The sequence below is a fragment of the Homo sapiens genome, chromosome 10, assembly GCF_000001405.40.
Source record: "Homo sapiens chromosome 10, GRCh38.p14 Primary Assembly".
Taxonomy (NCBI): Eukaryota; Metazoa; Chordata; class Mammalia; order Primates; family Hominidae; genus Homo; species Homo sapiens.
This window is the reverse complement of record NC_000010.11, coordinates 103,230,282-103,255,689: the sequence shown is the minus strand read 5'-3', so window position 1 is coordinate 103,255,689 and position 25,408 is coordinate 103,230,282. Positions and strand designations below refer to the sequence as shown.

Sequence of the window (25,408 nt, the reverse complement as noted above, 5' to 3'; positions counted from 1 at the left end):
AAGGACTTTGAAAAACTGACATATCCCTGGGAAACCGGAAAGCCACTTGCATGCCGAGGCCTATGCACATGTTCAGGAAAGATCTGAGAATGCCCTAAGTGTTCTGGCTGATCTTCAGGCTCTTCACAAGCATGAAGCAAAGGCTAAGGCAAAGAGCTAGATTCCATCTAAAAAAAAAAAAAAAGATAGAGCAGACAGAAGAAAATATCAATGAATTTAAAAATAAATCAATTGAGATTATCAAGTCTGAGGAACAGAAAAAGAAAAGAATGAAGATATATGAAGAGAGCCTAAGTGAACTTCTGGAGTTCCAGAAGGAGAGGAGAGGAAAAAAAGGAGCAGAAAGAATATTTAAAGAAATAATGGCTGAAAACTTGAAAACTTTCTAAATTTAATTTAAAACATTGATCTATACATCTGGAAAGCTCAATAAAATCCAAGTAAAATAAACTCAAAGAGATTCACACCAAGACACATCGTAGTCAAATTGTTATAAGCCAAAGGCAGGAGAGCGAATCTTGAAATCAGTAAGACAATGGTGACTCATCACAAGCTGGGTGTGGTGTGCATGCCTGTAGTCCCAGCTACTCAGAAGGCTGAGGTGGGAGGATAGTTTGGGCCCAGGAGTTCGACTTTAGCTTGGGTAATATAGTGAGACTCCATCTCAAATTTAAAAAAAGAAAGCAGCTGGGCATGGTGGCCTGTAATCCAGCAGCAGTTTGGGAGACTGAGGCAAGAGGATCACCTGAGGGGCCAGGAGGTCAAGATCAACCTGAGATACATAGTGAGATCCTGTCTCTCCAAAAAAAAAAAAAAAAAAAGCCAGACTCAGTGGCATGTGCCTGTAGTCCTAGCTACTTGGGAGGCTGAGGCAGAAGAATTGATTGAGCCCAGGAGTTTGAGGCTGCAGCAAGGCATGATCATGCCACTGTACTGAAGCCTGGGTAGCAGAGTGGGACCTTGCTTCTTTAAAAAAAAAAAAAAAAAAAAAAAAGTAGGCTGGGCGTGGTGATTCATGCCTGTAATTCCAGCACTTTGGGAGGCTGAGGCAGGTAGATTGCTTGAGCCCAGGAGTTCAAGACCAGCCCAGGAGTTCAAGACCAGTTCAAGACATGGTGAGGCCCTGTCTCTACAAAAAATACAAAAATTAGCTGGGCATGGTGGTGCATGTCTGTATTCCCAGCTACCCGAGAGGCTGAGGTGGGAGGATTGATTGAGCCTGAGAGGCCAGGCTATAGTGAGCCATGATCACTGCACTCCAGCCTGGGTGACAGAGTGAGACCCTGTCTCACAAAAAAGAAAGAAAGAGAAAGAGAGAAAGAGAAGAAAGAAAGAGAAAGAAAGAAAGAGAAAGGAAGGAAAGGAAGAAAGAAGGAAAAAGGAAGGAAGGAAAGAAGAAAGAAAGAAAAAGGAAGGAAGGAAGAAAAGAAAAGAAAAAAAGGAGGGAGGGAGGAAGGAAGGACTCATCGTGTACAATGGATGCTCGATAAGATTAACATCCTATTTCTCATCAGAAACCATAAAGGCCAAAAGGCAGTAAGATGACATATATTAAGAGTGCTGAAAGAAAAAAACACCCCCTGTCACCCCAGAATTCTCTATCTAACGAAACTATTCTTCAAAAATGAAGGAGGGAAAGAAGACATTAAAACATTCTAAGATAAAGACTGGAAGATTTCATCACTAGTAAACCTGACGTATAAGAAATCCTAGGCCAGGCACGGTGGCTCACCCCTGTAATCTCAGCACTTTGGGAGGCCGAGGCAGGTGGATCATCTGAGGTCAGGAATTTGAGATCAGCCTGGCCAACATGGTGAAACCTCGTCTCTACTAAAAATAAAAAAAACTTAGCCAGGCGTAGTGGCACGCACCTGTAATCCCAGCTACTTGGGAGGCCGAGGCATAAGAATTGCTTGAACCTAGGAGGCAGAGGTTATAGTGAGCCGAGATTGCGCCACTACACTCCAGACTGGGCAACAGAGCAAGACTCTGTCTCAAAAACAAAAAAACAAAAAAGGAAATCCTAGAGGAGGTCTTTCAGACTGAAATGACAGTAGACAGTAATTTGAATCTACATGAAGAAATAAAATAAACCATTAAAGGTAACTCCATAGGTAAATATAAAAGGTAGCATAAATGTATTCTTGTTTAATTTTGTTTAATTTTTTCCTATCCTATTTAAAAGATAAGTACATAATGCAGTAATTATAAACCTGCATTGATAATGCACACAATGTATTAAGATGTATTTTGTGTGACAATAATAGCACAAAGAAGGAGAAAGGGAACCAAAGCTATATAGGAGCACATTTTTTGTGTAATAATGAAATTAAGTTGGCATTTATCTAAACTAAGTTGTTATTAAATAAGATGTTAATTGTAATTCCCAGGACAATGACTAAGAAATTAACTCAAAATATAGTAAAAAGGCTGGGCACAGTGGCTCATGTCTATAATCCCAGCACTTCGGGAGGCCAAGGTGGGCAGATCACTTGAGGTCAGGAGTTCAAGACCAGCTTGGCCAACATGGCGAAACCCCATCTTTACCAAAAATATAAAAATTAGCTGGATGTCATGGTGCATGCCTGTAGTCCCAGCTACTTGGGAGGCTGGGGCAGGAGAATTGCTTGAACCCAGGAGCAGAGGTTGCAGTGAGCTGAGATTGTGCCACTATACTCCAGCCTGGGTGACAGAACAAGAATCTGTCTCAAAAAAAAAAAAAAAAAAAAAAAAAAATTAGTATTCTTCCTAATATGCTTAACTTCAATTTAATCATGAGAAAATGTCAGACAAACTCAAATTGAAGACTATCCAACAAAATACTTAACCAATACTCTTTTTTTTTTTTCTTTTTTCTGAGATGGAGTTTCTCTCTTGTTGCCCAGGCTGGAGTGTAGAGGCATGATCTCAGCTCACTGCAACCTCCACCTCCCAGGTTCAAGGCATTCTCCTGCCTCAGCCTCCCGAGTAGCTGGGATTACAGGTGCCCACCACTATGCCTGGCTAATTTTTGTATTTTTAGTAGAGATGGGGTTTCACCATGTTGGCCAGGCTGTTCTTGAACTCCTGACCTCAGGTGATTCGCTCACCTCTGCCTCCCAAAGCGTTGGGATTACAGGCGTGAGCCACTGCGCCCGGCCAACTTAACCAATACTCTTAAAATAAATAAATAAATAAATAATTAAAAAAAAATCAGGCAATGGGCTGGGTGCGGTGGCTCACGTCTGTAATCCCAGCACTTTGGGAGGCCAAGGTGGGCAGATCACCTGAGGTCAAGAGTTTGAGACCAGCCTGGCCAACATGGTGAAACCCCATCTCTACTAAAAATACAAAAATTAGGTGGGCGCCTGTAATCCCAGCCATTTGGGAAGCTGAGACAGGAGAATTGCTTAAACCTGGGAGGCGAAGGTTGAAGTTAGCCAAGATCGCACCATTGCATTCCAGCCTGGACGACAACAGCGAGATTCCATCTCCAAAAAAAGAAAAATAGTTGTAGAAAAAACCTATAAATTGAAAACTGTAAAATTTCACTGAAAGAAATTAAAGTCCAGGCACAATGGCTCACGCCTGTAATCCCAACATATTGGGAGGCCAAGGTGGGCAGATCACTTGAGCCCAGGAGTTCAAGACCAGCCTGGGCCACACAGTGAGACCTTGTTCCTACAGAAAATTAGCCAGGCTTGATGGCACATGGCTGTAGTCCTAGTTACTTGGAAGGCTGAAGTGGGAAGATCACTTGAGCCCAAGAGTTTGAGGCTGCAGTGAGCTGTGATTGTGCCATTGCACTCCAGCCTGGGTGACAGAGGGTGGAGTACAATGGCACAATCACAGCTCATTACAAACACAAAACAAACCAATCTGAAAGCCAAGATTAAATGTCTCAGGGGCCTGATTGGGTGGATCTTTAAAGGTGTCTGTCACTTCTGTAAGTGGAGGCAAGACCACTTGCCACAGATTTTGTGTCCAGTGTTAAGACACCTGAGTCCCTGCCATCCATCCTTAGTTATATCAGCAGAAGGCAAGGAGGCACCCACTGCCATAGGGCAGATTATGAAATGGAATGCTTTTTGCAGCCTGATGATGGTAAATAAAAGGGCAAGGGGTAAGGAAATTTGGGCAAAATAAAAGCCATGGCGTCTCCTGTGGAGATGAGGATTGAGACTATATCACTTCTCTTTTGAGAGTTCCTGCTCTTAGAACTTATCAGATGGATTGAGATGGTGTTGAATAAGATTCACTGGCAGGACAGTGGGCTAAGAGAATCCACTGGGAAGAGTTAGCCCTGGTGACAAGTGTGAGCACATAGTGGTTGTGGTGGGGGTAGAGGTGAAGGTGGTGATGGCGGTGGAGGTGGTGGTGGTGAATGGCGGTAGAGGTGGTGGTGATGGTGGTGGTGGTGGTGGTCATGATGGAAGAAGTTGAGGTGGTGATGGTGGAGATGGTGATGGTGGTGGAGGTGGTGATGGCGGTGGAGGTGGTGATGGCAGTGGAGGTGGTGGAGGTGGTGGTGGTGATGGTGGTGGTGGTGATGGTGGTGGTGATGGTGGTGGTGGAGGTGGTGGTGGTGGTAGTGGAGGTGGTGATGGTGGTGGAGGTGGTGATGGTGGTGGTGGTGATCGTGGTGGAGGTGGTGATGGTGGTGGTGGTGGTGATGGTGGTGGTGGTGGTGGTGATGGTGGTGGTGGTGATGGTGGTGGAGGTGGTGATGGTGGTGGTGGTGATGGTGGTGGTGGTGGTGATGGTGGTGGTGGTGATGGTGGTGGAGGTGGTGATGGTGGTGGTGATGGTGGTGGTAGTGGTGGTGGTAGTGGAGTGGCAGGGAGTTCTGGCACAACATATGCTGAGGCTGGAAACCTTCTGACCCAGTCATTGCCACCTAACCCCAGGAAAAATGGCCAAGCATGTGAGGGTGACCTTAGGAGCCTAGCATTGAACATCACAGACATCCAGAGCAGCAGGGTCCCTGCAGCAGGGGAAGGGGCATGTCAGGCTGTGCAGACAGGGTGTTCATCAGCCACACATGTGGCAATGACGGCAGCAGTGGTTCCCCAAAACAGATTCTCTGATGAGTGGAAATGTGTCTTCAGTTCTCTGTCCTTCAAGCACTTGGAAACAAAGCTGGCCCCTTGGATGGAGTAAACACCAGGGATGTTGGACAGCTCAAGAGGAGGAGAAGGGATATTGGACTTTCTGCTAACCTGGCACATGGGTGGTCAAGGTGGTTTTGTTTTGAAAAGTAGAAGGGCCGTGTGTGGTAGTGCAAGCCATAGTCTCAGCTACTTGGGAAGCTGAGGTGAGAGGATCACTTGAGCACAGGAAGTCAAGGCTGCAGTGAGCTCTGATCATGCCTCTGCACTCTAGCCTGGGTGACAGAGCGAGATCCCATCTCAAAAAAGAGAAAGAGAGAGAGACAAAAGAAAAGAACAATGGAAGAGATGTGACCTGATTTGTGCCCCAGGGTTGGTGATGCAGGTTGTTTCAGGTCGCGCTGGTTCCATGAATTAAAGACTGAGCTTCTGAGAAGTCACAGCATCCTATGTTCTGTCATGATTTCTTTTGCGTTTTTTTGTTTTGTTTTGTTTTTGTTTTTTTACATCAGAACCAGCGTGGAGGAAAACAGGAATCCTAACGTGAATAGAAGGGGCCTGATCCTTCAGAGAGCACCAGCTCTGTAACCAGCCCCCCACACGCCCCCACTGCCATGTATGCTAGCTTTCTGTTGAACAGCACCATGCCCCCTTCCCACCCACTGTGGATACACGATTTTCTTATCACTTGATTCTATTTGCTTTCCTCATTACTTCTTCTCAGAGCCCAGAAGTGGACTCACAAATGCTTAATGTTCTGTAATGAATGTTTAGTAATCCATAGTTTCTATTACTCAAATAAATTTATTTTTAGCCTGGGCAACATGGTGAAACCCCATCTCTACAAAATAAAACAAATACAAAAATTACCTGGGTATGGTAGCGTGCACCTGTAGTCCCAGCTACTTTGGAGGCTGAGGTGGGAGAATCACTTGAGCCCGGGAGGTAGAGGCTATAGTGAGCTGTGATTGCGCCACTGCACTCCAGCCTGGGCAAGAGTGAGACCCTGTCTCCAAAAATAAATTTGTTTTTAAGAAATTAATTAGAATGGCTTATTCCTGCTCTAAAAGCTTGTGATTAATGACTTGGTGCTCTTAAAGCGTTTCCTGGACATGGAGGCAGTGTCAGGGCCTAATTCAAAGGCTTTTCTTTCCTTATTTCTTCAATAAGAACAATGCCCTCCCGCCACCCCAACCCATGCCAAATGGGTTCAAAATGTTGGGAGATTATAGCTACCCTTTCAGAGATTCACTCAGAATTAGAGCTCTTGTTATAATTAAAGAACTAAGTCTAAGACTAAGTTTTCATTCAGCCTTGTCAAAAGAACAAAGGTAAATTTTTTTCTCCTGGTTGTTTTGCTGTAATTTTCTATTCTTTTTAAATAAATTTTAACTTTGATTTTATTATTTTTCATGTTGTTATACAGTCTTAAGGTATTAAAAATATTGTTTATAATTTTCACTTTTAATAGCTGCATTATATTCCATCAAGTTGACATAATTTAGTCATTCTTCAATAGCTAGACATTTAGGGGTTTTCCCCCCTAATTTTTATCATTGTAAAAAACATTGCAGTGGGCCAGGTGTGGTGGCTCACGCCTGTAATCCTAGCACTTTGGGAGCACTTTGATTACTCAAGTAATCAAGATTACTTGAGGCCAGGAGTTCGAGACCAGCCTGGCCAACATGGTGAAACCCCAACTCTATTAAAATTAGCCGGGTGTGATGGCAGGCGACTGTAGTCCCAGCTACTTGGGAGGCTGAGGCAGGAGAATCGCTTGAACTTCAGAGGCGGGGTTGCAGTGAGCCAAGAGTGTGCCACTGCACTCCCGCCTGGGTGACAGAGCGATGGGAGGGGGAGGGAAGTAACACCAGTTGAGTACTTACTCTATGCCAGGAACCATGCCAGGAGCATTTACAGAATTAATCCCATTAAAACCTCATAACAACCCAGAGATTATTATGCATATTTAACACAAATGGAATGTAAGGCTTCAACATTCAACAGGCCAAGTAACTGCTCAAAGTTCTAAAAACAAATGAGCTGGGTTTTAATACAGGTCAGTCTTAACATTAGAGCTCATGCCTACTCAACATATCATTCCTTTTTTTGTTTGTTTTAGTTTATTTTTTGAGACAAAGTCTCACTCTGTCACCCAGGCTGGAGTGCAGTGGTGTGATCTCAGCTCACTGCAGCCTCGACCTCCCATACTCAAGTGGTCCTCCCACCTCAGCCTCCCGAGTGGCTGGGACCACAGGCACATGCTACCACATCTGGAGAATTTTTGTATTTTTTGTAGAGATGGGGTTTTACATTGTTGCCCAGGCTGGATCATTCTTTCTTAAAACCATGTTCAGAATCAAGTTGAGTAGCCTCCTGTAGAACTATCTGGCATGGGGTAATGGGAAAATGGCAAATACCAGGCTTGTACATCACCACTCACCATTCCTCACTCATGGCAGCCACAACTAATCAAACCTGGCACTTTACCCTCTTAATTCAATAATTAAGAATTCAAAACCTAGGAATTCTTTCTCAAGTCACTGTTTCAGGCAGGTGCTACCAATGGATAGGAGTTGGCATGGGAGACGTAATCAGGCAGGTGGGTTCGAACCTATACTGCACCCTTACTAGCTATATGACCTTGAGCAGGTCAGGCAACCTTCCTGAGACTCAGTTTTTGTCAACTGTAAATTAAGATAGTATCTCATTTGCAGTAGAATTGCCTTAGAATTATCCTGAGGATTTGTTGACAACATATATGTAAAAGTAGCCAGCACTGTACCTGGAAGAGACAAGGCCATGAAAAGTGTATAGCCTTTGAGGAGCCCGTCAATCCCTTCAGCTCGTGCTCTGGAAACTGTTAGGGAACACTTTTTTTTTTTTTTAAATGGGGACAAAAATATCTGCTTTATTATTACCACTTACTTATAGAGGTGATTTACAGATTTAATGAGAATATATCAAAGTACTTTATAACTCACAAAAATATAAACTTATATAATGCTATCTACTTTGTATTGAGCATATTCTAAATTCTGGGACTAGTACTAGAAACTTTACATATATAGTGTTACCTCTTAATTCTCAACACAACCCCACAGTTGTTATAATTACATTTAATGTATAAATGACTTCAGAGAAACACAAAAAAGACTGGGTGATTTGTTAAAGGTCCAGCTAGAAAAGGGCAGTCAGAATTCAACCCAATATTACTTCCATACAGAGGTTTTTACTTTTTCCTTTCTACTCAGAGCTAACACAACAGCATTATTTAACGTCCTTAAGAATGGTGGGGAGGAATCACTGAATAACCTGCTTTGACAAAAACACCCTGATAAAATCTATGCTTGTATTTTAGAACCCCTGGGTTTCACGCATTGTTTTTATAGTTTTTACACATTAAGTGTAAGGTGAAAAGTGATAGATTTTAAGAACCAAGAATATGGTATGCCATCCCACCCAAACTTATAAACAAATCACAAATAACATGAAATAGAAAAAAGCCATAAAGACTTCCTTTGCTTTTGGAAAACAGCTGAGAAACAACAAAATTCTTTTCAGAAGTACAGACAAAATTTGTTTTTGTAGTGTAGCTAATATGCCCTCCTTAGGCATTAAGACACTTTTCTGTTTGTAACCTTAATGCAGCCGTATTTTTACTCTTTATAAAAATCAAGTCTCTCAATAAAAACAGTATCTTACTCACTAATCATTAAATTGCATCACTAAAAATGTAGTTATACACACCAATTTCTGACCTCTTAGAATATTCTGCACAATCAGTTTTAATCACTGGAATGAATAACTGCTCAAAAAAGCAGTACAGCTTCAATTTCATGATGATTTGGTAGTCAATATTCCTGTTTTCCAGTAAAAGGGAGATTTCATGAACAGAAACATTGGGCTCCTTATGGTTTCATCGATCAAGAGAACGTTTCTGAGCAGCTTCTGAGCAAATATTTCTTAATAGGTTGATCACAGATCTGGGGTCTTCACTCCTCATAATAGCACTGCCAGATACAGTCATGTTAGCTCCTGCCTCTGCACACTTATGGACAGTGTCAGAACCTACTCCACCATCGCCCTCTATATCCAAAGATGGGAACTGGGTCCTCAACCAGTGAACCTTTGGCATCATATCTTCCATGAATTTCTGCTCTCCAAACCCCGGTTCCACTGTCATAACCAAGGCCATATCTATTTGATTAGCCCATGGTGCCAAATACTCAACTGAGGTTCCTGGTTTGATGGCAAGGCCAACCTTCATCCCATTCTCCCGAATGTCTTTAATCAAAGTCCCTGGGTTCTCAGTAGCCTCGAGATGAAAGGTGTACTGATTGGCTTCTGCTACAGCCATTGGCTTTACCCACTGTTCTGGCTTGGACACCATCATGTGCATGTCAAAGAAAGGGTCCTGGCCTAGCTGCTTTCGAAGGCTTTCTACCACAGGGTGACCAAAGGTGATGTTGGGAACAAAATGCCCATCCATTACATCCAGATGCAGATAATCGGCCCCAGAGTCTAGCATCTGGAGGCACTTGGCCCCTAAATTGGCCAGGTCGCTGTTGAGGATGGACGGGCCAATCTTGCAGCCCGACGCCATACCGCTGGCTCCCAAGAACAAGTTACCCCACGAGTCCCCGGCAAGACTAGAGCCCACTTTTTTTTTTTTTAAAACCAGGAAATTCTACCAAAGAACCACAGTTTGGCCAGGCACAGTGGCTCATGCCTGTAATCCCAGCACTTCAGGAAACCAATGCAGAAGGATCACTTGAGCCCAGGTGTTTGAGACCAGCCTAGGCAACATAATAGGAACCCGTTTTTACAAAGTAAAAAATTTGCCTGTGTGATGGCACATGCCTGTGGTCCCAGGTACTCGGGAGGCTGAGGCAGGAGAATTGCTTGAGCCGGGGAGGCTGAGACTTCAGTGAGCCATGATTGCGCCACTGCACTCCAGCCTGGGCGACAGAGTGAGGCCCTGTCTCAAACAAGAGACAGAAAACAAACAAAAAAGAAACCCCGAAACATAGTTTGGAGAGAACTATATAATAGCAGTCAAGTACAGGCTGTGAATTCTGTAGGTTTAAAAAAATGGTGAGGGATGGCCAGGTGTGGTGGCTCACGCCTGTAATCCCAGCACTTTGGGAGGCCAAGGCAGGTGGATCAGCTGAGGTCAGGAGTTCGAGATCAGCCTGGCCAACATGGTGAAACCCTGTCTCTACTAAGAATACAAAAATTAGCTGGGCGTGGTGGCACGTGCCTGTAACCTTTGCTACTCGGGAGGGTGAGACAAGAGAATCACTTGAAGCCGCGAGGTGGAGGCTGCAGTGAGCGGAGATAATGCCATTGCACTCAGCCTGGGTGACAGAGCAAGACTCCGTCTCAAACAAACAAACAAAAATGGTGCGGGATACCCTGGGAGGCATGGTTCAGGGATCCCTTCTGGAAGAGTTGGATATGAGAAGGTCTGAAGATTTAGGGTTTGGAAGAGGCACCAGTTGGAAGGTGGAACAGCATAAGCAAAAGCAGTAAGAGAAAGTTGAGAGCACAGAGAGGAGACTGACTCTTCCATCGTCAAGGGACTGGCCTGGGGAGTGTCTTCAGCGGGGAAGGAAAAATACCCTCCCTGGCCGGGTACTTTGGGTTTTCCTCACATTCTCGGCCAGCTCCTGATCTTACCCAACCAACCCCAGGAGCACCCCAAGCAGCAAAGACTCTGCACGTTTCATGACTACCACCAGGAGGCAGTATGGCCCAACAACTTGGAGCATCAGGGTTCATTCAGTTCCTAGTTTGTTCCAAGAGCTGATCTAGGAGCATGAAAGTGTCCACCAATCTAATATTTGTGGAGCACTTTGCATGGAGTTTTCAAAGTACTTTAACCCCGGTGATCTGATAGAATACTAACTACAACCCTGTGTGGTCTCTATGTGTTGGTATTATCTACCTAGAGGAACCGATGTTGAGGATTTAAGTGAATTATTCAAGTTCATTTAGACTGTGCGGGAATCTGAATTTGAACCAAGGGCCAAAATCTCTACCTCGTGCCCTCTACTACAACTTACTGCCTTTTGTTAAGGAGACAGGAGCATACAAATATTTAGCATAATAATAAAAGCTTATATTAATAACTATTAAGAACCAATGGCAGTTTCAGTTTGATAAGATGAAAAAATTCTGGAGATGGATGGTGGTGATGGTTGCACAACAATATGAATACATTTAATATCGCTGAACTGTATATTTAAAAGTGGTCAAAATGGCAATTTTTTTTTTTTGAGAGAAGTCTCACTCTTGTCCCCCAGTTTTGAGTGCAATGGCTTTATGTTGGTTTACTGCAACCTCTGCCTCCCGGATTCAAACGATTCTCCTGCCTCTGCCTCCCAAGTAGCTGGGATTAAGGCACCTGCCAGCATGCCTGGCTAAGTTTTGTATTTTTTAGTAGAGAGGGGGTTTCACCATGTTGGCCAGGCTGGTCTCCAACTTCTGAGCTCAGATGATCCACCCGCCTCGGCCTCCCAAAGTGCTGGGATTACAGGCGTGAGCCACTGCGCCCGGTCGGTTTTTAGGCAGGGTCTCACTCTGTCCCCCAGGCTGGAGTGCAGTGGTGGAATCTTGGCTTACTGCAGCCTCAAAATCCTGGGCTCAAGCGATCCTCCCACCTCAGCCCCCCAAAGTAGCTGGGATCACAGGCATGCCACCACACCCAGCTATTTTTCTGGAGAGATGGGATTTTGCTATGTTGCCCAGGCTGGTCTCAAACTCCTGAGCTCAAGCAATCTGCCTGCCTTAGCCTCCCAAAGTGCTGGGATTACAGGCATGAGCCACTGCACCCAGCCTAAGATGGCAATTTTTTTTTTTTTGGATACAGAGTTTCACTCTTATTGTCCGGGCTAGAGTGCAATGGCATGATCTCGGCTCACTGCAACCTCCACCTCCTGGGTTCAAGTAATTCTCCTGCCTCATCCTCCTGAGTAGCTGGGATTACAGGCATGCGCCACCATGCCTGGCTAATTTTGTATTTTTAGTAGAGACGGGATTTCTCCGTGTTGCTCAGGCTGGTCTCGAACTCCCAACCTCCGGTGATCTGCCTGCCTCATCCTCCCAAAGTGCTGGGATTACAGGCGAGAGCCACCGCGCCTGGCAAGATGGCAAATTTTATGTTATGTGTATGTTAACACAGTTTAAAAAATGACAACTACATAAATGGTTATATAGCATTTATTAATAACAATAGTTACTGTTATATATCACTAGCTGCCTTTAAAAGCACTTATGAACTTATTATTTCTTTAATTCTCACAATCATCAATTGAAGCAGTCACCATTATTATTCTCATTCAATAAATAATTTCAGGCCGGGCGTGGTGGCTCATGCCTGTAATCCTAGCACTTTGGGAGGTGGAGGCGGGTGGATCACGAGGTCAGGAGTTCAAGACCAGCCTGGCCAATATAGTGAAACCCCGTCTCTACTAAAAATACAAAAATTAGTTGGGTGTGGTGGCGTGTGCCTGTAGTCCCAGCTGCTTGGGAGGCTGAGGCAGGAGAATCACTTGAACCCGGGAGGTGGAGGTTGCAGTGAGCTGAGATCGTGCCACTGCACTCTACCCTGGGTGACAGAGCGAGACTCTGTCTCAAAATAAATAAATAAATAAATAAATAAATAAAAATAATTTCATCACTGGGTCTATCTTTACTCCCCTCCCTCTCCCCAGGCCCCACCCCAACCCCCTTCCCCAGCAACCCTGGTAGAGGCTGTGATCTGCACTTCACTGGTCCTTGGTTAACCAGTGTTGTAAGTGTGATAGAATGGAAAGACCATGGGCTTTGGAGTTTACTGACCTGGAGCTGATAGGGTCTCAGCTGTTTTACTGGCTGAATGTTCTTGGACAAGTTACTTAATTTATCTGAGCCTCAATTTTTTCATTTATGAAATAATAATAGTATTTACTTCACAGAGTTGTTGTGATGAGCAAATAAGATAATGTATAAATATGAGATGCTTAACAGTGCCTGACACATAGAATGGACTAAAAAATGTTGGCTGTTATTAATTGCTCCTAGTAGTAATTGCTCAGACAGCAATAAATAAATAGGCCAGGAGCAGAGGCTCACGCCTGTAATCTCACGCCTGTAATTCCAGCACTTTGGGAGGCCAAGGCAGGCGGATCACCTGAGGTCAGGAGTTTGAGACCAGCCTGACCAACATGGTGAAACCCCATCTCTACTAAAAATACAAAAATTAGCCAGGCACAGTGGCAGGAGCCTGTAATCCCAGCTACTTGGGAGGCTGAAGCAGGAGAATCACTTGAACCCGGGAGGCAGAAGTTGCAGTGAGCTGAGATTGCAACACTGCACTCCAACCTGGGTGACAGAGTAAGACTCATCTCAAAAAAAAAAAAAAAAAAAATTGAAAAGAAAACAATAAATAAATAGATGGGTATGTCCCGAGGGGATCCGAAATACCTCCTGGCCCTCGTGAGGGTGGGATGTTGGAGGAAAGCAGCACCCAGCAGAGAATGTTTAGCCCCAATCAGCTGAGCTCATGGAATGATAGGACGAGGTGCGGTTCTTGGAGTCCAACTTCATCATCTTACAGAGGAGGAAATCGAAACCCAAGAAAGGGAATAGTGTTATGCAGTCACCCCTTTGTGCCAGTCAACTGGGAAATTACCCTGAGAAACAGTCTGGTGTGGTGAGAGCCCCTCCCTGGAAGTCAGGCCCAGGCAGTCATGTGAGTTCTCCTTAGCCAGCTCTAGGGCCCCTCCCAGAAAAACAGCAGGTTACCACCAAGTCCTCTCCAGCCTCAGGGCTGCTCTGAGAGGTGCTCACCTCTGTCCCTTTTCTGCAGGATCAGCCAAGATGATCATGAAACCGGGAGATCAGCAGTTTATTGTAGCTTCTAGGGCAGGGGGTACGGGGAGAGAAGGAAAGGGAGGGGCCCTGGGCACCCTGCCACAGCCGTACCTTTGGTTAATATTTATTCTTTCTTCTTCCTTGGCCTGGAAGCCAAGGGAAGGTTAGTAACAGCCTGTAAAACAGGATCCCAGAGACTTGAGAAGCTGGTTCCTGTGAAAGATGACTCAGCACAGGCCTTTAGAATGCCAGGCAGTGTCCCCTGCCTGGATGCTGCACAGCCCCGCGAGTGCCATGTGGGCCACTTTGGCTGTTACAAAGTCCAGGCTATTTGTCTGCTCAGCAGGGTACTTGTCTCCTAGGAGCTGGGGCATGTCCTGCAGCCCCTAGCTCATGAGTGGGTATTAGCATCAGGGTCCTTGTTGTGGTTTGATCTCTGAATCCTTTCCGTTACAGAGATCCTTCATGCCTTCCCTACATACAGTGACCCTCTTTTTCTCCAGGCCGTCATTGATACTGCCTCTAGACTGGGCTTTCCAATGCATTTCATCAGGGCTTTCCCAAAGGATGCCTCACTGCCTATAAACTCAGCTCCCATTTCCTTAGCACAATGTGGTCCTGACCAAAATTTCTGCTTCGGGCCAGGCGCAGTGGCTCACGCCTGTAATCCCAGCACTTTGGGAGGCCAAGGAGGGTGTATCACCTGAGGCCAGGAGTTCAAGACCAGCCTGGCGAACATGGTGAAACCCCATCTCTACTAAAAATACAAAAATTAGCCAGGCGTGGTGGTGCACGCCCGTAGTCCCAACTACTTGGGAGGCTGAGGCAGGAGAATCGCTGGAATCCGGGAGGTGGAGGTTGCAGTGAGCTGAGATTACGCTACTGCACTCTAGCCTGGGCGACAGAGCAAGACTCTGTCTCAAAAAATAAAAATAAAAATAATTTTCTTCTTCATCCCAATCCCCTCTCCTTCCTCCTGCCATGTGCCCCGTACTCTAGCCCAGTGTTTCTCAGTGTAGTCTGTGGACCATCTTCTTCAGAATCATTCAGGACATGATTCCTGGGCACGAGACCTACTGAATGGAAAATGCAAATTCCTGTGCTCCAGAACTACTGAGCCAGCTGTTGCTGATACCTCGGAACCTGCATTTTAATGATACCGGGGCTGATTTTTGTGTAGAATACAGTTTAAGAACTACTGCTCTGCCAAACCAGATTGTTGAGTTTCCTGACTGTATCTGGGTAGTCACACCTTTCTCACTTCCTGCATTTTGCAGCCTGGTGCACTCTGCTTCTCCTTTAAGCTTCGTCTCACACATCAGCTCTTCTGTGCTGCTTTCCCCGAATCCAGGTTGCTTTCTCTGTGTCCACGTGATCCATTGCACTTTCTACCCACCTCTGCTATAGTATCTTCTTATGTCGTCAGAGCTAATTATTGGCTCCTTCACTTGTTTGTGAACTCCCTAAGGACCATGGATGTTTCATTTTGAATCCCCAGAGCCTAGCAAAATACCTGGCAGGGAGAGGGCATTTAATGCATGTTGCTGAATGAATGAATGAATGAATGAATGAATGAAGAATGAATGGAGACCAGGTCATAGTCTAAATCAGAAAAGTAGATTAAGGCCAGGCATGGTGGCTCACGCCTGTAATCCCAGCACTTTGGGAGACCAAGGCGGGAGAATGGTTTGAGCCTAGGAGTTTGAGACCAACCTGGGCAACATAGTGAGACCTCATCCCTACAGAAAATAAAAAAAGGCCGGGCACAGTGGCTCACACCTGTAATCCCAGCACTTTGGGAGACTGAGGCAGGCGGATCAAGAGGTGAAGAGATCGAGACCATCCTGGCCAACATGGTGAAATCCCATCTCTACTAAAAATACAAAAATTAGCTGGGCATGGTGGGGCGTGCCTGTAATCCCAGCTACTCAGGAGGCCGAGGCAGGAGAATCGCTTGAACCCAGGTGGTGGAGGTTGCAGTAAGCCGGGATCGTGCCACTGTGCTCCAGCCTGGCAACAGAGCGAGACTTTGTCCCCCCCCCAAAAAAAAAAAAATTAGATGGGCATGGTGGCACCTGCCTGTAGTCCCAGCTACTCAGGAGGCTGAGGTGGGAGGATCGCTGAAACCCAGGAAGTCAAGGTTGCAGTGAGCTGTGATTGTGCCACTGCACTCCACCCTGGGCAACAGAGCAAGACCCTGTCTCAACAAAAAAAAAAAAAAAAAAAAAAGGAAATGTAGATTAAACCCATTATGTAGTGGACAGAGCCACATTTATCAGGCAGACTCCTGCTTCACAGTTTCAGTCTAACTTTTTCTAAATGTTTGATCTTTTCTTGAGGAAGCTATGGGTTTACACTGTGGCAAAAGTAGTTAGGTAAGTTATGAGCTAGGACTAAGAAATATTTTTTAAAATCCCAATGTGTTTGTGTGGGAGGCCAAGAAACAGCTTTCTCTTGATCTGTCTCTGAGGATAGATCCTACCAGACTTTTTCTCCACCCTAGACCTGTTCCCGAGGATTATCCATTTCAGAATTCTTGACCTTCTAACTCTAGTGACGTAACTGCCTCAGTCAGGCACGCCCTGGACCTTGTCATGATTGTCCAGCTCAGAAATGCCAACAAACTGGTCTCTGGCCGGAACTTCCTTGCCATCGGTTTACTCCCTTCCCCTACTCCCAGCTCCCTGTATCTCTTTCCCAAACCCCAGCCCATGAGTGCCTCCTTTCTTCATTCTTGTCCACAGGGTGGTGCTCCTCTTGCTGTCTGAGGCCAGTCCCTCAGTGTGTGCTGGATTCCATCCTTCCCAATTCCTCGGCGCTCGGCTCCATCCTCAGCAGCACACTTCCCTCCATCCTCACTCTCTCCTTTCTGGCTTTTCCTTCCATACATAAACAGTCAAGCTTCTCTCACCTCAGAAAGGTACCTCTCTCTAGCTATAAGCCAGTCTTGGAAGTTCACTTCACAGCAGAGCTTATCAAAAGAGCAGGCCCTGTTTGCTACCCACTCACCCTTAACTCCATTTCTGGCCCCACCTCTCCAGTTGTTCTTCCCAAGGCCACAGCAACCTCCTAATTGCACAATCTAGCAAGTAGCTTTTTGTTTGTTTCTTTGTTTGTTTGTTTTTGAGATGGAATTTCACTCTTGTTGCCCAGGCTGGAGTGCAATGGCACGATCTCGGTTCACTGCAGCCTCAGCCTCCCGGGTTCAAGCAATTCTCCTGCCTCAGCCTCTCAAGTAGCTGGGACTACAGGCGCCCGCCACCATGCCCAGATAATTTTGTGTATATTTTTTAGTAGAGACAGGGTTTCACCATGTTGGCCAGGCTGGTCTTGAACTTCTAGCCTCAGGTGATCCGCCTGCCTGGGCCTCCCAAAGTGCTGGGATTACAGGCGTGAGCCACCGCACCCGGCTGCAGGTAGTTTTCAATTGCTATTTTGCTTGCACTTTGTGTGGCATTTGACACTATGAACTACTCCTGTCTTCTGGAACCTCTGTTGTTCTTTTGTTCTTCCTTCGTTTGCAAAGCACTCTCTTTGTTCCTTTTTTTTTTTTTTGAGACGGAGTCTCACTCTGTCACCCAGGCTGAAAGGTAGTGGTGCAATCTTAGCTCATAGCAACTTCTGCCTCCCAGGTTCAAATGATTCTCATGCCTCAGCCTCCCGAGTAGCTGGGACTACAAGTGCCCACCACCAATCCTGGCTACTTTTTGTATTTTTAGTAGAGATGGGTTTTCGCCATGTTGGCCAGGCTGGTCTTGAACTCCTGACCTTAGGTGATCTATCTGTCTGCTTTGGCCTCTCAAAGTGTTGGGATTACAGGCGTAAAAAAAAGACTGCACCCAGTCTTTTTTTTTTAGAGACAGGGCCTGGCCGGGCCTGGTGGCTCACGCCCGTAATCCCGACACTTTGGGAGGCCGAGGTGGGCGGATCACGAGGTCAGGAGGTCGAGACCAACCTGGCTAATACGGTGAAACCTCGTCTCTACTAAAAATACAAAAAATTAGCTGGGCGTGGTGGTGGGGACCTGTAGTCCCAGCTACTTGGGAGGCTGAAGCAGGAGAATGGCGTGAACCCGGGAAGCGGAGCTTGCAGTGAGCTGAGATTGCGCCACTGCACTCCAGCCTGGGCGACAGAGAGAGACTCCATCTCAAAAAAAAAAAAAAAAAAAAAAGAGACAGGGCCTGATTCTGTCATCTAGGCTGGAGTGCAGTGGTGTGATCTTAGCTCACTGTAGCCTTGAACTCCTGAGCTCAAGCAATCCTTCTGCTTGAGCCTCCTGAGTAGCTGAAACTACAGACATGCACCACCATGCTTGGCTAATTAAAAACAAAAAGATTCTTTGGTGGAGACGGGGTTTTGTTATATTGCCCAGGCTAATCTTGAACTCCTGGCCTCAAGTGATCCTCCCGACTCACCCTCCTAAAGCTCTGAAACTGCAAGCATGAGCCACCGTGCCTGACCCATCTACTACCTTCTTTGTGGCGTCCTCTTCCTATTCCCAAATGTCAGCAGTCCATACTTTTCCTTGTTTAGTTCTTTTATCGTCTTTTATTTGCTTTGTCTGCTATAGCTTGTAGAATCTAATGCTTACCACTTACTGTGGAAGACATCTAACATCTGTGAATCTTAATAAAATGGGGATTGTCATGAAAAATACAATTTATGCACATAAAGGGCCCAGCAAAGCCCCTGGCATAACGTAGAGGCTCACTAAATGGCAGTAATTTGTATTATTATCATTAATAATAAAATAATGTCTCAGTCTCCAGCCTATAGGTTTATATCTTTATTATTATTTTAAACACTTTTTATTATGGTGAATTTTGAACAGAATTGCATCATGAATTTCCATGTACTTATGATCCAGCCCCAATAACCATCAACCCATAACCAATCCTGCCCCATTCACCCCATCCTCTATAAAAAGGTACAAACTTTAAAAAAAAAAAACCCACAATACTATTATCATACTTTAAAAATCCAATCATTTGGCCTGGCGCGGTGGCTCACGCCTGTAATCCCAGCACTTTGGGAGGCAGAAGCGGGCGGATCACGAGGTCAGGAGATCGAGACCATCCTGGCTAACATGATGAAACCCCGTCTCTACTAAAAAAAATACAAAAAAATTAGCCAGGCGTGGTGGCGGGCGCCTGTAGTCCCAGCTACTCAGGAGGCTGAGGCAGGAGAATGGCGTGAACCCGGGAGGCAGAGCTTGCAGTGAGCCGAGATGGTGCCACTGCACTCCAGCCTGGGCAACAGAGCGAGACTCCATCTCAAACAAACAAACAAAAATCCAATCATTTGCAATCCAGGTGGTATATCTGATTCCTTTGAGATATTGCCACCTGGATGTTTCCCAGGCACTTCAAACTCAACGTGTCCAAAGCTGAACTCATCACCTTCTCAGAATTCTGTTCTTCCCTGCTCCCTTGTGGTCCCTGTCTTAGTGATGGACACCCCTGTTGCCCAGTCCCTCAAGTCAGAACCCTGGGAGTAGCCCTTGGCTCCTCGTTCTTCCTCACACTGCATCCAGCCAGTCCCTGAAAAACTCTAGTATCTCTTCCCTGCAGCTCTCCTGCCGGTGTCTAATAGTACAGGCCCTTGTCAGGTCTCTGCCTCTGGGCATTGGCTCTCTAACTGATGTGCCTCTATTGAGTCTTTTACTTCTCTAAATCTGTTAACACTCTTGCCAATTATTTTTCTCCAAGGATTATGTTTTGTTTTGTTTTTTCACTTTTTTGTAGAGATGGGGTCTTGCTATGTTGCCCAGGCTGGTCTCTAATTCCTGGACTCAAGTGATCCTCCCACCTTGGCCTCTCAAAGTGTTGGGATTACAGGTGTGAGCCACCATGCCCAGCTGACCATTTTTTTATTGCGGTAAAATAGACATAACAAAATTTATTATTTAATCATTTTAAAGTGTACACTTCAGTTCACATTGTTGTGCAACCATTATCACCATCTATCTACAGATCCTTTTTTTTTTTTTTTTTGAGATGGAGTCTTGCTCTGTCACCCAGGCTGGAGTGCGTAGCGCAATCTCGGCTCACTGCAAGCTCCACCTCCCAGGTTCACGCCATTCTCCTGCCTCCGCCTCTCAAGTAGCTGGGACAACAGGTGCCCGCCACCACGCCTGGCTAATTTGTTAATTTTTAGTAGAGATGGGGTTTCACCATGTTAGCCAGGATGGTCTTGATCTCCTGACCTCATGATCTGCCCGCCTCGGCCTCCCAAAGTGCTGGGATTACAGGCGTGAGCCACTGCACCCGGCCTCTACAGATCCCTTTCATCTTCACAAACTGAAGCTCTATCAGAGCTTCAGAAAGTCTCCATTCCTCCTCCCCCAGCCCCTGGCAACTGCTGTCATCTACTTTCTTTTTGTTGTTGTTTGTTTTTGAGATGGAGTTTCATTCTTCTTGCCCAGGCTGGAGTGCAGTGGTGCAGTCTTGGCTCACTGTAACCTCCGCCTCCAGGGTTCAAACAATTCTCCTGCCTCAGTTTCCCAAGTAGCTGGCATTACAGGCACCCACCACCACTCCCAGCTAGTTTTTTTTGTATTTTAGTAGAGATGGGGTTTCACCATGTTGGCCAGGCTACTCTCGAATTCCTGACCTTAGGTGATCTGCCTGCCTCAGCCTCCCAAAGTGCTGGGATTACAGGTGTGAGCAACTGCACCCAGCTCCATCATCTGCTTTCTATCTCCATACATTTGACTGCTCTAGGTACCTCATGTAAGCAGAGCTATACAGGATGCATCCTTTTGTTACTGGGTTATTTCACTTAGCATAATGTCTTCAAGGTTTAGAATATCCTTCCTTTTTAAGGCTGAATAATCCAGCGGTTTGGGTGTGTATGTATATGTCAAATTTTGTTTATCCATTCATCTGCTGATGGGCACTTGAGTTGCTTCTACCTTTTGGCTATCATGAATAATGCTGTTAGGAACATAAGTATACAGTGTCTCTTCAAGACCCTGCTTTCTTTGTTTTTTTTTGTTTTTGTTTTTGTTTTTGTTTTTGAGACAGAGTCTTGCTCTGTTGCCCAGGCTGGAGTGCAGTGGTGCAATCTTGGCTCACTGCAACCTCCACCTCCTGGATCCAAGTGTTTCTCCTGCCTCAGCCCCCCAAGTAGCTGGGACTACAGGCATGCACCACCACAGCTGGCTAATTTTTTTTTTTTTTTTGTATTTTTAGTAGAGACAGGATTTCACCATGTTGGTCAGGCTGGTCTCGAACTCCTGATCTCAGATGATCCACCTGCCTCAGCCTCCCAAAGTATTGGAATTACAGGCGTGAGCCACCATGCCAGGCCAAGACCCTGCTTTCTTTTTGGGATGTGTCCAGAAGTGGAATTGCTGGATCATATGGCAATTTTATTTTTAATTTTTTGAGGAGCCACCATACACAGTGGTTTGTACCGCTTTACATTCCCACCAGCACTATGCAGGGATCCAGTTCCTCTACATCCTTATCAACACTTGTTATTTTGTTTTTTTTTGTTGTTGTTTGTCTTTAAAATAGCCATCATACTGCATGTGAGGCGACACTGTATCTTGTGGTTTTCATTTGCATTTCCCTAATGATTACTGATGTTGAACATCTTTTCATGTGCTTATTGGCCATTTGTATATCTTATTTGGAGAAATGTCTAAACTAAGGACTTTGGCAATTTTTTTTTTTTTTTGAGATGGAGTCTTGCTCTGTCACCCAGACTGGAGTGCACTGGTGCGATCTCAGCTCACTGCAACCTCTGCCTCCCATGTTCAAGCTATTCTGCTGCCTCAGCTTCCTGAGTAGCTGGGACTACAGGCATGCGCCACCACGCCTGTCTAATTTTTGTATTTTTAGTAGAGATGGGTTTTCGCCGTGTTGGCCAGGCTGGTCTAGAACTCCTGAGCTCAGGTGATTCACCTGCCCCAGCCTCCCAAAGTGCTGGGATCATAGGTGTGAGGCACCGCACCTGGCCGACATTGCCCATTTTTAAATTGGGCTGTTCGGTTTTTTTTTTATTTTTGTAGGGGTCCTCTATGTATTCTGGATATTAGCCCTTATCAGATATATGATTTGCAAATATTTTCTCCCATTATGTGAGTTGCCCTTTTATTCTGTTGATAGTATACTTTGATGTCCAAAAGTCCTTAAGTTTTTATATAGCCTATTTTGCCTGTTTTTTTCTGTTGTTACCTATGTTTTTGGTGTCATATCCTCCAGTAATCAATCTTTCTTTTTATTTTATTTTATTTTTTTGAGACAGGGTCTCACTCTGTTGCCCAGGCTGGAGTGCAGTGGCACGATCATGGCTCACTGCAGCTCCACCTCCCCAGGCTCAGGTGATCCTCCCACCTCAGCCTCCCTAGTAGCTAGGACTACAGGGGCATGCCACAACACCCAGCTAATTTTTGTACTTTTTGTAGAGATGGGATTTCATCATGTTGCCCCTTTTTTTTGAACTCCCAAGCTCAAGCGATCTGCCTGTCTCAACCTCCCAAAGTGCTGGCCGCAATAGGCATGAGTCACCATGCCCAACCTCCAATAATCTTTTAAATACACACTTGTATATAGTTGATCCTTTCACTGTCCTCTTTGTAATCCTGGAATGCTTCTTTCTTTTAAACTTCTTAACCTGAACGACCTGGTCTCCATACTTCCTCAGTCTCATCTCTCACTAACAAGGTAATCCGTTGTCATTCTGAATTTCCTGCACAGCTGCAAGCATTCACCTTGCTCTCCGAAGTCACCTTTCCACTTGCTAGGCCCACTTCCTCCCTACCTTGCTGTTCACTAAACTAAGTTCCACTCAACCTTTAAAGCTTCCTTCAAGTACTTCCTCCTCTGGGAGGCTTCTTTGGCTGTTCCACAAGTTAAGTGCCTTCCTTGGTAACCTTTAATTTAATTTAATTTAATTTAATTTATTTATTTATTTTTGAGACAGAGTCTTGCTCTGTCGCCCAAGCTGGAGTGCAGTGGTGCAATGTTGGCTCACTGCAACCTCCGCCTCCCGGGTTCAAACAATTCTCTGCCTCAGCCTCCCGAGTGGCTGGGATTACAGCTACCCGCCACCATGCCTGGCTAATTTTTGTATTTTTAGTAGAGATGGGGTTTCACCATCTTGGCCAGGCTGGTCTTGAACTCCTGACTTTGTGATCCACCTGCCTCGGCCTCCCAAAGTGTTGGGTTTACACCCAGCCAACCTTTAATTTTATGGTAACCCTTATCAGATTGTGTTTTAATTGTTGGCTCACCGGCTTCCTGTCCCTCCCACTAGACTCTACATTCCTTAAGGGCAGGGTTACTATTCCTATCTTGTCATCTGCATGCTGCTCAAACAATTGAACTCGATCTCTGCCACTATTTAGTTGCTTTGACATTCAGCAAACTAGTCAAACTCTCTGGGCCTCAGTTTTCTCATAGGATCATTGTGAAAATTAATTAAGATTGTGTTTGTAAAGTGCTTAGTGCTTACTCTGGATCAGAGTAAAATGCCCAACAAAAATTAGCCATTGCTTCCATCAGCTTGTTGAATTGAGATCTCAAACTCTAATCAGCTGTATGACTTTAGACAAAAATCTTAAGTTCCTAAGGCCTGTTTTTCCTTCTCCCTGGATCACCTAGAGTCGTGATTCCCAAAGTAGGCTACACTTTGTAATCACCTGGGGAGCTTTAAGAATGCTAATATTGGCCAGACGCGGTGGCTCTCACCTGTAATCCCAGCACTTTGGGAGGTTGAGGCAGGTGGATTATGAGGTCAACAGATCGAGACCATCCTGGTCAACAATGGTGAAACCCCGTCTCTACTAAAAATACAAAAATTAGCTTGGTGTGGTGGCTCATGACTATAATCCCAGCACTTTGGGAGGACAAGGCAAGCGGATCACAAAGTCAGGAGTTTGAGACCAGCCTGACCAATATAGTGAAACGAAAATACAAAAATACAAAAACTACGAAAAATACAAAAAATTATCCGAGTATGGTGGTGGGCGCCTGTAGTCCCAGCTACTTGGGAGGCTGAGGCAGGGGAATTGGTTGAACCCAGAGGTGGAGGTTGCAGTGAGCAGAAATCGTGCCTCTGTACTCCAGCCTGGGTGACAGAGCAAGACTCTGTCTCAAAAAAAAAAAAAAAAAAAAGCTAATATCTGGGTCCCTCTGCTAAAAATTCTGACTTAATTGGTGTGAGGTACAACTTGGGCATGGGCATTTTGCAGAGGCTCCCCTGGTGATTCTAATGTTCAGCCAGAATTGAGAAACACCAATCTAAAGTTTCTTTCTAATGTAACACACTAGAAAGTTGAGCTGCAGAATTCCGTGGACGCAGGGGAATGGAATGTCTCTGGGCATTCTTCTGCTATCACCCTTTGTTAGTTTAACAGGAAGCATTATTGAACAAGCTCACTAAGCTGGAATTCCAAGAGTATTTGTGGATTCCTGAGTGTTTAAATTTAGCAGCTCACTTCATCCAGGAGAAACCTGGGGACCAGTGCTCTGAGAAAGAGAAAACAATGGTTCTTCCCTACTCTACAGCTCTAACCCAAGGCCTGGGAGTCTAGATACCCTGGAGTTCTGTATTATGGTTAAAGGAAAGGGAGGAGGAAAGAGTCCTTGGTAATCGGTATAATCCTTTTTTTTTTCCCCAAGGGACAGAGTCCTGCTCTGTCGCCCAGGCTGGAATACAGTGGTGCAATCATAGCTCACTGAAACCTTGAACTCCTCCTTCAGCCTCCTGAGCAGCTAGACCTACATATACGTGCTACCACGCCTGGCTAATCTTTTTTCTTTTTTTAATGTTTGTACCAATGGGGGTCTCACTATGTTGCCCAGGCTAGCTGGAAATCCTGGCCTCAAGTGATCCTCCCACCTTGGCCTCCCAAAGTGCTGGGATTACAGGCGTGAGCCATTGTGCCTGGCCCCTTGCTATAATCGTAGTGGGGGCACCTGGGGCCCTGACTAGAACAGGGTAGGGGCTGAGATTTACAAATATTCATTCCCTTATCACTGTACTGTGCTTTAAAACCACATTCACAGCCATTACTTGAGTCTCCGCATAATCTTGAGAAATGCAGAGCAGATATTACTGCCTCTACTTTGTGGATAAGCAAACCAAGTCTGAATGGTTAAGGGCCTTGCCAAAAGTCACAGTGCATTAACACGAAGGGTCAGCATAGAGTCCCTATATCCTGACTCTCTGTTGGGGGCAGAAAAACTCTTCACACCCAGGTAGCTCAGAGTCCTTCTTGGCTTCTTGGACTTGGAGTCAAGGTTCTAAGTGGTCCCATTAAATGCTACAGGGAATGACTAAAATACCTCTTCCTGGCCGGGCGCAGTGGCTCACGCCTGTAATCCCAGCACTTTGGGAGGCCGAGGCGGGCGGATCACGAGGTCAGGAGATAGAGACCATCCTGGCTAACATGGTGAAGCCCTGTCTCTACTAAAAATACAAAAAAAAAAAAAAAAAAAAAATTAGCCGGG

General features: G+C 45.4%; 1 protein-coding gene across 1 annotated transcript, besides 6 other annotated features; it reads right to left on the bottom strand.

The window, feature by feature from the left end:
• Window positions 435-934: an enhancer, noted in NCBI's record as "H3K4me1 hESC enhancer chr10:105014513-105015012 (GRCh37/hg19 assembly coordinates)". NCBI's record gives its function as "activates a minimal SCP1, AML or CMV promoter by ChIP-STARR-seq in primed H9 embryonic stem cells {active_cell/tissue: H9 hESC(primed)}" and the evidence as "EXISTENCE:reporter gene assay evidence [ECO:0000049][PMID:30033119]".
• Window positions 7,674-9,803, bottom strand: RPEL1 (ribulose-5-phosphate-3-epimerase like 1). Its single transcript, NM_001143909.1, has one exon. It carries the CDS (start codon window positions 9,691-9,693, stop codon window positions 9,007-9,009), a length of 687 nt encoding a protein of 228 aa, NP_001137381.1. The 5' UTR covers window positions 9,694-9,803; the 3' UTR covers window positions 7,674-9,006.
• Window positions 10,885-10,934: an enhancer, noted in NCBI's record as "active region_3955". NCBI's record gives its function as "activates an Ori minimal core promoter by ATAC-STARR-seq in GM12878 lymphoblastoid cells {active_cell/tissue: GM12878}" and the evidence as "EXISTENCE:reporter gene assay evidence [ECO:0000049][PMID:35858748]".
• Window positions 13,737-13,786: a silencer, noted in NCBI's record as "silent region_2777". NCBI's record gives its function as "represses an Ori minimal core promoter by ATAC-STARR-seq in GM12878 lymphoblastoid cells {active_cell/tissue: GM12878}" and the evidence as "EXISTENCE:reporter gene assay evidence [ECO:0000049][PMID:35858748]".
• Window positions 15,298-15,397: an enhancer, noted in NCBI's record as "active region_3954". NCBI's record gives its function as "activates an Ori minimal core promoter by ATAC-STARR-seq in GM12878 lymphoblastoid cells {active_cell/tissue: GM12878}" and the evidence as "EXISTENCE:reporter gene assay evidence [ECO:0000049][PMID:35858748]".
• Window positions 22,857-23,854: an enhancer, noted in NCBI's record as "H3K27ac hESC enhancer chr10:104991593-104992590 (GRCh37/hg19 assembly coordinates)". NCBI's record gives its function as "activates a minimal SCP1, AML or CMV promoter by ChIP-STARR-seq in primed H9 embryonic stem cells {active_cell/tissue: H9 hESC(primed)}" and the evidence as "EXISTENCE:reporter gene assay evidence [ECO:0000049][PMID:30033119]".
• Window positions 23,855-24,852: an enhancer, noted in NCBI's record as "OCT4-NANOG-H3K27ac-H3K4me1 hESC enhancer chr10:104990595-104991592 (GRCh37/hg19 assembly coordinates)". NCBI's record gives its function as "activates a minimal SCP1, AML or CMV promoter by ChIP-STARR-seq in naive H9 embryonic stem cells {active_cell/tissue: H9 hESC(naive)}" and the evidence as "EXISTENCE:reporter gene assay evidence [ECO:0000049][PMID:30033119]".

What these genes read in the sequence shown, in the direction of transcription:
- RPEL1 (NM_001143909.1), bottom strand. Translation starts at nt 9,693, where the DNA reads ATGGCGTCGGGCTGCAAGATTGGCCCGTCCATCCTCAACAGCGACCTG.